The sequence below is a fragment of the Homo sapiens genome, chromosome 11 (genome assembly GCF_000001405.40).
Source record: "Homo sapiens chromosome 11, GRCh38.p14 Primary Assembly".
Classification (NCBI taxonomy): domain Eukaryota; kingdom Metazoa; phylum Chordata; class Mammalia; order Primates; family Hominidae; genus Homo; species Homo sapiens.
This window is the reverse complement of record NC_000011.10, coordinates 12,171,764-12,184,642: the sequence shown is the minus strand read 5'-3', so window position 1 is coordinate 12,184,642 and position 12,879 is coordinate 12,171,764. Positions and strand designations below refer to the sequence as shown.

General features: G+C 42.8%; 1 protein-coding gene across 22 annotated transcripts in view, besides 3 other annotated features; it reads right to left on the bottom strand.

Annotated features, from left to right (window-relative positions):
- MICAL2 (microtubule associated monooxygenase, calponin and LIM domain containing 2) overlaps positions 1-12,879 on the bottom strand; it is a 251,551-nt gene that overhangs the window by 177,498 nt on the left and 61,174 nt on the right.
- Positions 1,809-2,309: an enhancer, noted in NCBI's record as "H3K27ac hESC enhancer chr11:12203881-12204381 (GRCh37/hg19 assembly coordinates)". NCBI's record gives its function as "activates a minimal SCP1, AML or CMV promoter by ChIP-STARR-seq in naive H9 embryonic stem cells {active_cell/tissue: H9 hESC(naive)}" and the evidence as "EXISTENCE:reporter gene assay evidence [ECO:0000049][PMID:30033119]".
- Positions 5,029-5,903: an enhancer, noted in NCBI's record as "H3K27ac-H3K4me1 hESC enhancer chr11:12200287-12201161 (GRCh37/hg19 assembly coordinates)". NCBI's record gives its function as "activates a minimal SCP1, AML or CMV promoter by ChIP-STARR-seq in naive H9 embryonic stem cells {active_cell/tissue: H9 hESC(naive)}" and the evidence as "EXISTENCE:reporter gene assay evidence [ECO:0000049][PMID:30033119]".
- Positions 10,002-10,051: an enhancer, noted in NCBI's record as "active region_4462". NCBI's record gives its function as "activates an Ori minimal core promoter by ATAC-STARR-seq in GM12878 lymphoblastoid cells {active_cell/tissue: GM12878}" and the evidence as "EXISTENCE:reporter gene assay evidence [ECO:0000049][PMID:35858748]".

Sequence of the window (12,879 nt, the reverse complement as noted above, 5' to 3'; positions counted from 1 at the left end):
TACAGAAAGGCCCAGCAGTAGGCTTGGTTTAATACTGTATTGGGAATTTATTTATGAAATCTCTCAGAAGAGCTTAATTCCATCACAAACCTTAATGTCAGACATTCGCTGGGACAGATGACAGTTCAGGACACTCAGGAGGATGGCATTTCCTTAGTTTACCTCTCCCGGGCTGGAATTTCAGAGAAGCAGCTGACTACCACATTTTCGGCCTCTGTGGGCAGGTATGCTGGTGGTCAGGGTCTGCAGTGGAGCCCTCTCTTGGGACACAGATGCCCGTACTTAACCAGGAGGAGAATGGTGAACAGGGAGCGGCTTGCAGGACAGGGAGGCAGCCAGATAGAGAGCTTCCGCTCAGAGTCCTTTCAAACAGTCCTGACAAACAGTAATCATGACAAAGGTAATCATCTTCCTCTATGCCGGCCACTGTTCTAAGTGCTTTACACATATTATTTTATCCAGGCCTCACAATCACCCTCAAAGTTGGAGACTATTATCATTTTTCAATTAAGGAAACTGAGGCACAGAGAGGTGAAGTAACATGCTTAAGGTCACACAGCCAAGATCCGACGTGGTGGCTCACACCTGTAATCCCAGCACTTTGGGAAACCAAGGCGAGTGGATCACTTGAGCTCAGGAGTTCAAGACCAGCCTGGGCAACATGGCAAAACCCATCTCTGCAAAAGCACACAAAAATTAGGCAAACATAGTAGTGCACACCGGTGGTCCCAGCTACTCGGGAGGCTGAGGTGGAAGGATCACTTGAGCCCAGGAGATGGAGGTTGCAGTGAGCTGATTTGTGCCACTGCACAACAGCCTGGACAACAGAGTGAGACCCTGTCTCAAAAAAATAAAAAAAAGTCTCACAGCCATAAGTGGGATGCAAACCCAGGTTGGTCTGACCTCAAAGACCATGCTCTCAGGCCCTGTGCCACACCACCGTCTCACTCTGTGGCTTGAAGAAATAAGAGCTTCAAGGGTAGTCTATGTCAACAGTGTCCACAGCACACCTACTTCTCCTATGTCCTGAAGCAAGAGTGTCCCTCTCACCTCCACAGTCCCTAGCCAGCATCCTACCAGTGATATTTAAGACCCCAAATGCACCATCCACCTCTCTTGGCTCAGTTCAGTCTCAGAAACATCTGTGCCTGAGAAGGGCACAGGCGGTTAGATTCTGGGCTCTGAGCTGGAGCAGAGGCTCTGTGTCTGGGCCAGGACAAGGGGGAGGACATGCTGAGTGTGGACAGATGTCCACCAGGCCATGACTCTGGCAATCATTTTAATGAGCAATGCAGCGGTCAGCTGGGCACGCCAAACGTGTTCACCCACTCTGAAAACTGAGTTGAAATAGAGCATGATTCCAAGGCCCAGGTCAGTTAAATGACAAAGCAACAAAACCACAACAATGTATTACATCCAAACCCAGTGACCACAAAACTTTTCTGATTCAGGATTTAAAAAAAAGAAAAAAAAAAAGGAGTCAGGATATGGTTTCATGAAGGCATTAAGCCATCTCCCCCACCCCACATACTCCTAACTTCCTGAACAAAGAAAGCATTCCATCATTTTAGCGCCTTTCCACCAAGACAACAATAGGCTGCATTTTCCATCTAAGAACAGTTGGCTTGGAACAGCAGATAGAGAAGCAGTGAGAGTAAACGCAGGTCTGCGGGGCCACCGAGGACAATGATTAATGGGTTTCCCAGGCCTGCTATCAGCTGGGGCAGGCAGTATAGGAATAGGTCTCAGAACATGTTACCCCAAGGCCCTCTTGCAAGCACTCCAGTGAGCAGAGGATCGGCCTACACATTCCCAACCCATGAGCTCAGGCTGGAGGTGAGCCAGGGAGAGCCAAGGTGGACAGTGGGAGGAGGGTCAGAAAGGGTCTGAACGTCTCACTGCTGCTCCAGGAAGGGAAGACTAGCCATCCATTGAGGCATTACGACACCACCTCTGACTCGAACAATGGACTGTGTGGTGTGACCTTAATTAAAGGAAAAACGTAGAATCACAGTGCATTTAAAAGACCTTAGAGAGGCCATCTACTAAAATCTCTCATATCACACAAGAGGGAACAGAACAGAGTTGGGAGGAAGGGAAAGAGGAATTTACGTTTCTGACAATTTCCTATCGCTAGGAATCGTGTCGTGTGTGCTAAAGCCGCTACGGTGTGTTAGAATATTGCTGTTTTACAGATGTGGAAATTTGGTCTCAAGCCAGTAATTGGCCCCCAGTCACAAAACTAAAAAGCAGAGGAGCAGAGATTTGACCCGGATCCCTTCCAAGCTCTTTTCAGCAACTCCCCCACCCCTGACCCACTACACTGGCAGGCCCCACATGGCTCCTGACCCCTCTATTCCCAGCTCTATGGCATCAGAACAGGGGTCCTTAACCATTTTTATGCCACAAACCATCTCAGTAACTTGATAAAACCTATGGACACCTTCTCAGAATATTTTCTTTAAATCATAAAACAAAACATTAACAGATCTAGCATAGCTAATAGTAAGTAACAAGATCTAGTTGTAGGTCTAACACCTTACAATAATTTCAATAATTATTCACTTATAATAATTTCTAGTTGTAAGTGTAAATCCTAGCTTGAGATATCTGCAACCACTGCAAGAAGGAATGAAAATATTTGTGATTTCTATTAGTGATGAAGTCACAGGCACTCCTAAGATGGATTTGTTGCCTACAGTGTCCCTGTAATTGGGGAATATATTACGTTTCAGTTAGAGGTTAGTAAAAATAAAGGGTTTTTTCTTCATTCAAGTTCACAGACCCCAGGAAATTAAAAATCCGTGTACCAGACTAGCACTACCATGAATCCCCAGCATGGGGGACAGTTGTCAACTTTTCCTTAAACCTGTAGGACAAAATAATAGCAGTTGCGATTTATTGAATGTTTTAATGTTGCAGGCCCCTGTTAAGCTAACTCATGTCCTACTGACAGCTTTTCTTTAAAGTGGGTGATGCTGCCTTGATCTTACAAAGCAGAAAAGTTTGGTTTCAAGGTTGAATCTTAAAGCAAGTTAAACACATCTACCTACTTCATGTTCAAGTTTACAGATTATTGTAATTGAAGAGACTGTAAAGTAAGCTGTTAAAAAAACCATTTTACTTGAAATTCTCTTCTTGGCTGGATGGATTTTGAGTTCACGTAAACAAAACAAAATAAATTAGACATTGAAGCTGATATAAGGCTACAAATGCCATCCTTAACCGCAAATTGAAAACTACTAAATCCATCAGATTCATAGTACCAGGACTTTAATCGAGAATTTCTAATAAACAAAGGTGAAATTCTAAAACCAGACATTCATAAATATAAAATAATGCTGTTGCCCTCCTTAAATATTTCTGACAGAATTTCTTTTGAAAATAAATGTAAGAATAGGCCGGGCACGGTGGCTCATGCCTGTAATCCTAGCGCTTTGGGAGGCCAAGGTGGGTGGACCACCTGAGGTCAGGAGTTTGAGACCATTCTGGCCAACATAGCAAAACCCTGTCTCTACTAAAAATAGAAAAATTATCCAGGCATGGTGGCAGGTGCCTATAATCCCAGCTATTTGGGAGGCTGAGGCAGGAGAATCGCTTGAACCCCCAGGGGTGGGGTGTGGCGGGGCGGAGATTCCAGTGAGCTGAGATCACGCCATTTCACTCCAGCCTGAGCAAAAGAGCAAAACTCCATCTCAAAAAAAAAAAAAAAAAAAAAAAAGAAGGAAAATAAAGGCAAGAATAATTTCTGAGCCCTCTCTGTATCCTTATCACCCAAGATCAACTGTTGAAGAAATAGTGTACTTGAAAATACAATATATCTCATATCTTTCCCATTTTCTCCACTGAAGTCCTCAAAGGTTGAGCAACTAAAGTCTAGGACTGTTGGTTTTGAACACTGTCACATTCTTCCGTTTATCCCCAGGAAATTCTAGGCAAGTCCCTTAACCCAGTGAAGCCTCAGTTTCCTCATCTGTAAAGTGGGGATAATAATCCCAGCCCTTATTACCCCACAGAGTTATTGTGCAAATCAAATGAGATACTCAATGCAAAATTCCTCTGTAAACAGAAAAGCTTTATACTATTGTGATGTTATTAAACCCTAACAAGGGATAAGTCATTCGGTATGAACAGGAGCTTCAGAATCAATGTGGGAGGCAAAAAATACAGAAGTTTCCTTCAGCACAAGAGATCATAAATCAGTGTCACCCACACCTGTGGCCGTGTGCAGCAGCACCAGAAGAAAGGCCAGTGGTATGCCCTTCATGGGAAACCTTCCTGCCAAAAAAAAAATATATACATATATACATGTATATAAACACTGCAAGAGTCTGGACCTCTTAAAACTCAGATTTACAATTCCTCACAAAGGCGTATAACCCTCATTCTCCCCTCCCTCAAGGTGTCTCTTCAAGGAGAAGAGACTTCAAGGAGATGGCAACCCACCACATCTGATGTCTGAAAAAGGCCAAGTAGACAATACAAGGTAGTCACGGTCTTTGCTAACCCCAAGGCCTCTAGTGGCCCTGAAAAAAGCATTTCTACTAGCACAGGGGAATGAACCCTGATTTCAGTGTGTTAGGGGATAAGGGGAAGGTGAAGATATGGGAGCAAGGAGTACAGAGTTACTTTCCCCAGAAATTTGGTGGAGAACAGAAGACGAAACAGAGCTGATAATATTGATTTTCATGAGAAGTCAGATGGCTGCTTAAAGGGAAGGGGCTGAAGAAACAGAGAAGGAGGTAAAGGATGGGAACAGCTGCTGTGGGAATTGATACAGACAGGAAACTGGCTAGATTTTCTGAAAAGGCTGTCCCAGCAGCACTGAGAGGCTCAGCATTAAGTTATCATAACTTGGTAACAACACCAACCAGCTGGGCTCTGCAGCTCTCTCTAACAGTGCCAGGCAGCCCTCGAGAGCAGGACGCAGAATTAGAGACACTAGAGTCTCTTTGGGTGGGGCCAGCCTGAAGTCAGGAGCACTGAGCAGCTGCTGAACACGATTGCAAAGGCACAATGTGGGCTCCCAGATGGGCAAAAGAAGGAAGCCCTTGGGAGGCAGGTGGATCGGGAGGACAGGCAGGCATTGGCTAAGGATGGGAAGGTGGATTTGCAGCAGGTCTCATGAGAATGACATGGTAAGAGAAGCAGCAGCTCCAAGTCATGGTTAGAGAGGAGCATTTCCAGTGGGAGTTTAGGTGGGACAGTTTTGGGCAGTGGAAAACTCCTAGGTGCGGCTCTGGGCTGGGCTGCTGGGGAGAAGGTGAGAGGTACGAGGAGGTGGAGGCTGCTGGAGCTGCAAAGGTGGAGGATCTCCAAGGACAGGATTTCAGCAGACTGAACACGGAAAGTGCCTACAGTGCTGGGCAGAGGCAGGTGGAGGAGAGGCTGAGAACTAGGGGAGGAGCCTGCCAAGAAGGCGGCCTGTGAGAAGGGAGTTGTGGGAAACAGGTTGGTGAGGCAGGAGCTGGGCTGATCAGACAGGTCACTGGGCCAGGCTGGAGCTGGAACTTTAATCCACAGGCAGTGGGAGTTTTGAATTTGGGCAGTCACAATCTGAGCCGTGCTTGGGAAGAGTGAGTCTGCAGGGGCCAGTACTGGACTGGAGGGGAGGAAAGGCCAAGAGAGCCCAGAGGCTGGCAGGTGTGATCACTTGGGTAAGAAATCAGCCAGTCCCTGAACCAAAGTGGGACAGTGGGGGCGAAGAGCAGGGGACAAGCATGAAGAGAACTGCAAAGGAAGGTGTGATTGCATGTGGGAGGAAGAAAGGAGATGGGCCTGGAGTCCCAGCTACTCGGGAGGCTGAGGCAGTAGAACTGCTTGAGCCCTGGAGGCAGAGGTTGCAGTGAGCTGTGATCATGCCACTGCACTCCAGCCTGGGCAACAGAGCGAGATACTGTCTCAAAAAAAAAAAAATAGTAATAATAATAATACCGTCTGATGAGAGACATTTACCATCTAGTTTCTCTTAAGGAGACCATCTAGTCTCCTGTTACTTGGAGGCTTCATTTAGGTAACACGAATCTTAGCTTCCACAACCCCTTTTTTCTTAACTCAAACATTTCTTTATGCCAACTTAAACTCTTCAGGCAAAGCTTAACTCTTTCAACCAATTGCCAATCAGAAAATCTTTGAATCCACCTATGTCCTGGAAGCCCCCATGCCTGCCCCCCACCCCCATACCTTACATGTATTGATTCATGTCTTTGCCTATAATTTCTGTCTCTCCAAAATGTACAAAACCAAGCTATAACCCAATTACTTTGGGCACATGTTCTCAGGACCTCCTGAGGCTGTGTCACGGGCCATGGTTACTCTTATTTAGCTCAGAATAAACCTCTTCAAACATTTTACAAAAGTTGGGGTTTTTTTGTTCTTTGTTTTTTGTCAGCAGCTTCCATGTCTTCTCTGAGCACACCTCCCTTCAGTCACTGCCACGTGTTCAGCTAGTGGAAGATCCCTGAACCCAGTCCTTTTGGGTCTTAATGGCAGCTTCATCATGTAGGCACAGTTGATGAAATCATTGGCCATTGATGAGCGAATTAACCTTCAGCCCTTCTCTCCTCCCTGGAAACTGGCTTGGCCTTTCAGGCAGCAGCCTTCATCCTGAAGCTGCCTATGGGCTGCCAGCCACCAAGCATCTTATCAGCATGCAAAAGACACTCTTATCACCCTGGAGATTCCAAGGGGAGAAGACCAAATATATATATTTCACAATATCAGATTACTTCAACGGGGTCATGGGGCTCAAGAGAGAGGTACAGGCCAGAAATAGAAATGTGGAGAGTCATCTTCATGAGGGTGACAGGCAAATATAACTGAGATTTCCTGAGAAAGCAGGCCTCACAGAAACAAAAGGAGTTGGAGACAAACCTCAGACACCAAATATGTACTACAGAAAAGAAAAATAAAGCATAAGACTCTTAAAAATTAATCAGAAAAGTTGTGCCATACCTGTACCTCACCCCATATACAAAAATTAATCAAAATGGATGAAAGACCTAATTGAAAGAGCTGAAACTAAAAACTCCTAGAAGAAAATGTAGGGCAAAAGCTTCATGACAGTAATTTGGTCAGGATTTCTTGGATATGACACCAAAGCCACAGGAAACAAATGGAAAAATAGACAAATTTGACTTCATCAAAATTTAAAACTTTTGTGCAACAAAGAACACTATCAACACAATAGAAAGATAACCCACAGAATGAGAGAAAATATTTCCAAATCCCATATCTGGCAAAGAGTTAGTATCCAGAATATACAGAGAACTCTTAAAAGTCAATAAAAACAAAACAAAAAACCTGATTCGAAAATGGGCAAAGGACTGGAATAAACATTTCTCTAAAGAAGACTTATGAGTGGACAATAAGCACAGGAAAAGATGCTCAACATCACTAATCATTAGGGAAATCCCAATCAAAATCATGAGATGCCACCTCACACCCATTAGGATGCCTACTATAAAAAACAAAAAATAAGTATGATGAGGATGTGGAGAAAATTCAACCCTTGGACATTGCTAGTAGGAATATAAAATGGTACAACTACTTGAAAACAATAGGACAGTTCCTCAAAAAAGTAAAAATAGAATTACCATTTGACCCAGTAATTTCACTTCTGGGTATACCACATACCCAAAAGAATTAAAGCATGATCATGAAGAAATAGATACGTATATCCATAGATCATGAAGAAATAGATACGTATATCCATAGTGGCATTATTCACAATAGCCGAAAGTTAGTAGTAACCTGTGTCCATTGATGAGTGAACAGATACAAAAATGTGGTCTATATATACAATGGAATATTATTCAGCCATAAAAAAGAAGGAAATTCAGACATACATTACGACATGGATGAACCTTGAAGACATTATGCTAAGGGAAATAAGACAGTCACAAAAGGACAAATACTATATTATTCCACTCATATGAGATACTTCGGTAATCAAATTCATAGAGACAGAAAGAATGGTGGTTGCCAAAGGCTGAGGGGAGGGGAGAATTGTCAGCTATTGTTGAATGGGTAGAGTTTCAGTTTTACAAGATGAAAAAAGTTCTGGGGATGAATGTTGGTGATGGCTGCACAAAAATGTATTGCCACTGAACTGTGCACTTAAAGATGGTTAAAATGGTCAATTTTATGTTAAAAAAAGTTGTGTCACAAAAGGCAAGGGGATAGTTCAAGAAGTAGAAGGAGGCGATTAACGGTTGCTGGGCACTTAATATGTTTTACATGTGTTTTCTCACATAGCCTTTACCCCAGCCCTATGAGATAACAACTATCATTATTATTACTCTCATTTCATAGGTGAAGAATCAGAGGCTCCAAGATACAAGATCACACAATAAGTCATGGGTAGTGTTAAGTGTCATGGGTATTCAGGAAGGTTTTTTCTTCCAAAAAGACTTTAAATCAGAATGGCCAAGTCTGCCCTAACCTTCGCAGTGAGGCTGGTTTCAGCCTGTCCCTGATCTGCTGGTTTGTGGTGAGAGAGTGAGCAGCTCCTCTAAGACATGATGAGCACAGGATGTAATACATTCCTTAGGCCTGAGATGGTCGTGACTCACAGATAGGAGAGACCCTAGTCTTCCTTTACGTTTTTCATCCCCAAGATTTCACAGTTCCTTACCTGAGGAAGTCATGTCACTTTCCACTCAAAGCCTCCTGTGGCTTTGCATCTCATGCAGAGTAAAAGCCCAAGTCCTTTCAAGGGTTCCAAGGCCCAACCCCACTCTCTCTCTGGCCCATCTCTTACCACCCCCAGCCTGCCTCCTTCCAGCTACATAGGTCTCCTTGCTGTTTCCACAACATCCTGAGCACACTTGCGTCAGCACCTCTGTACCTGCTGCTCCTTTGCCTAGCATTCACTCCCCTCTAAGAACTGCACACTCATCACCTTGCTCCTTTAGGTCTCTGCTCAAATGTCACCATCTTCTAGAAGCCTTCCCAGGACATCCTATATCAAACAGCAACCTACTCTCCTCTCCCTGCCCTGCTGTATCTTCTACCTAGGATATACACACACCTGACATACACACACACACACACACAGACTCCCCACACATTTGTTTATTGTCTCTCTCTTTCTCTCTCTCTCTCACTGATAAGAACATAAACTCCAAGAGGACAAGGATTTTGTCTGTTTTCTTTTTTTTGTTTTCGACCCAGAGTCTTGCTCTGTTGCCCGGGCTGGAGTGGAGTGGCGCAATCTCGGCTCACTGCAACCTCCACCTCCTGGGTTCAAGCAGTTTTCCTGCCTTAGCCTCCTGAGTAGCTGGGATTACAGGCACCCACCACCACGCCTGGCTAATTTTTGTATTTTTAGTAGAGACAGGGTTTCACCATGTTGGCCAGGCTGGTCTCGAACTTCTGACCTCAGGTGATTTGCATGCCTCAGCTTCCCAAAGTGCTGGGATTACAGACGTGAGCCATCGTGCTCGGTTTGTCTGTTTTCTTTACTGCTATGTCCCTAGCACCTGGCATGTAGCAGGCACTTAAAATGATTTTTTTTTTTTAAGCAGAGTCTTACTCTGTTGCCCAGGCTGGAATGCAGATGTGTCATCTCATCTTGCTACAGCCTTGATCTCCCAGGCTCAAGCGATCCTCCCATCTCAGCCTCCCAAGTAGCTGGGACTACAGGTGCATTCCACCACACCAGACTACTTTTTTGTATTTTTTTGTAGAAATGGCATTTTGCCATGTTGTCCAGGCTGGTCTCAATCTCCTGAGCTAAAGCAATCTACTCACCTTGGCCTCCCAAAGCACTGGGAGTACAGGAGTGAGCCACCATGCCTGGCTGAAAATGATTTTTTGAATGAATTAATAATTGCGAAAAGTTTAACTCAGGGATGGCAATTTAAAATATAAGGGTAAATGGAAACAGTTTGGTGGTTCCTCAAAAAGTTGAATTAGCATATGACTCAGCAATTCCACTCCTGGTATATACCTAAAATAACTGAAAACAAAGACTCAAACTGATACTTGCACGTCAGTGTTCATCACCACATTATTCATCTTAGCCAAAAAGCAGAAAAAAAAAAACAAGGGTTCCTCACTGGATGAATGGATAAACATATGCAGTACATACATAGGATAGAATATTATTCAGTCCTAAAAAGAAGGAAATTCTGGCATATGTCACAGATGAACCTTGAGGACATCAGGCCAAGTGAATAAGCCAGCCACAAATACTGTATAATTCCACTTAAACGAGGTACCTAATAGTTAAACTCTAGAGACAGAAAGTAGAATGGTGGTAGGCAGGGGCTGGGGGTGGGGGTGGGGAGGAGAGGGGAGTGACTGATTATGGGTACAGAGTTTCATTTTTGCAAGATGGAAAACCTTCTGGAGATGAATGATAGTAATGGGTGTACCACAATGTAAATGTACTTCATGATACCAAATTATACATTTTAAAATGGTTAAAATTTTATGTTATGTATATTTTACCACATTTTGCTTGAAAAAAACCTCAAACTCAATTCAGTTACTGGAAAAGTTTTAATTATGACTGGAATAACTTGGATATGTAAATCTACTTTTTTCAACTGTAAGTTTTATAAAATTTAAATACAGATTAAGTATTTCTGACTAAAATTTAGCATCTGAATTGAGATGCTCTATAAAACACACACCAGATTTCAAAAACTCAGTACGAAAAAATGTAAAATAGCTTTAAATAATTTCACAGTGATTACATGCTGAAATAATAATAATTTGGATATATTTGGTTAAATATATTTTTAAGATTGAAAAAGAAAAGAATGAAATTCCAACACATGCTACCATGTGGACAAACCTCAAAAATATTATGCTAAGTGAAATAAACCAAACACAAAAAGACAAAGACAATATGATTCCACTTACATGAAATATTACAAACAAATTTACACAAACAAAAAGATGAGAGGGTAGCAGGGGCTGAGGGAAGAAGGGAACAGGGAGTTTTTGCATAATGGTCACAAAGTTTCTATTTGGAGTGAGGAAAAATCTTGGAAACAGGAAGCGGTGATGGTTGTACGTCATCCAGAATGTAATTAATGCCGCTGAATTAATTGTACACCTAGAAATGGTTGAGATGACAAATTTGTTAAACATATTTTACCACAATTTAAAAAGACACATTGGGAATGCCAGGGGCAAAGAGTAAATGCAAGAGCTCATTCTCTTAAAGCTAGAGAGGAGCAACAGGCAGCTGCAAGTAAACATGAGCATGTTCTCCTTGGCTGGAAGGGGACATGAAACTTCCCCTGGACTTAAGTCTTGTAGATTTGAACTTAAAAAACATCTCCCCCTATATATTCCTCAGATTTTGACAGCTGTCCCCTGCAGAAAGGGTCCTGAGAATAAAATCTTTCCACTGCAGATTTCCCATAGACCACCCTTTGGTATAGCTCGCTACCCTGTATTTACATCTCTTAAGACTGTAAGACCGATAGCAGGAGGTGTAGAATACGCCAGGTTGCAGTGAAATCTGTCACATAGAGCCAAAGGCTCTGAGCAGCCTCTGAAATTATAATAGACTCGGTTTATCTTTCTAAGAAGCTGCATAGAAGTTTGAAATGAGTAACTTTTTAATGTAATATAATTATAATACATAAAAATATATGTATATACTATATTTACAACTTCTCTTAAGTATATATTTCTATAACTATGTATGTTATATATTTCAATATTTGTATCGGGATATATGTTAGTACATGTTACATGGAGAGCTGGTAGCTTATGGCTGACCATCCTAAGGAGACAGCCAAGTATAAAGAGATCTCCAGAGAACCTCTGACCTGCCTGTGCACTGGGAGGATGGGGCGGGGCCTCGGGAAGTTTGCACCATTAGCAGGGGGAGGAGACTGACCTCTCCTGTTCTGGGTGGTACCTGGGATTCAATGTGTGAGATGGGGGCCTGTTAATAGGAGCCTCTCTCAGTTTGCTGAGTTTTTTTTTCTTCCTTTTCACCCAATACATTCCATTTTTCTCACCCTTCAAAGTGTCTTTGAGCCTAATCTTTCATGGCCATGTGACAAGAACCCTGCTTTTACCTGAACTGAGGAGAAAGTCCTACAACACTAATATCAACTGAGAACCATGATGTCTCCCACCTTGTTTCTTGCAAAACTCATTTACTGAAAGGCCAAGTAGGAAGAGACCTAATTGCTTGAACCTGCAGACATTTGATTCTCTTGTACACAATTTGACTTCTTCCTCAGCTCAATCATCGTCTTCCCCATTCCTTTCACAGGTGTTGACTGCTGATGAACACCCTGCACTCCAAACACCTACTAAGCATCTGCATTTGAAGAACTCAACCTGAGACAAATACATGTTATGTGTCAGGCATTTTCCTAGGTGCTGGGGAATCAGCCGAGAACATATAGGCAAAAATTCCTGTGCCCATGGAGCTTACATTTTAGCAGAGTTTCTGGGAACACTTTTGCCTGCGTGATAAAGAGATGTATGTAGCTAGAGCAACCCCATCTACCTTCTTCCTGCTTTGAAAGCAAATGTGATGGCTGGAGCTGCAGCAGCCACCTTGTGACTACAAGGTGACAAGCATGAGGAAAACTGCACAGTCCAATTTGACAGCCGCTAGCCACATGTGGCTAGTAAGCACTTGATGTGTGGCTAGACTTAACTGAGATGAGCTGTAAAATACACAGTATTTCAAAAATGTAATATACAAAAAGCAAAATATCTCAGTAATCATTTTTTATATTTACTACATGTTGAAATAGTGTGGATATATTAGGTTAAATAAAATATATTATTACAATTTCAACACGTCTTTATATTTCTAAAATGTGGCTAATAGAAAGTTTAACATTATATATGGGCTTACATTATATTTCTTTTGGGCGGCACTGGCCTAGAGAA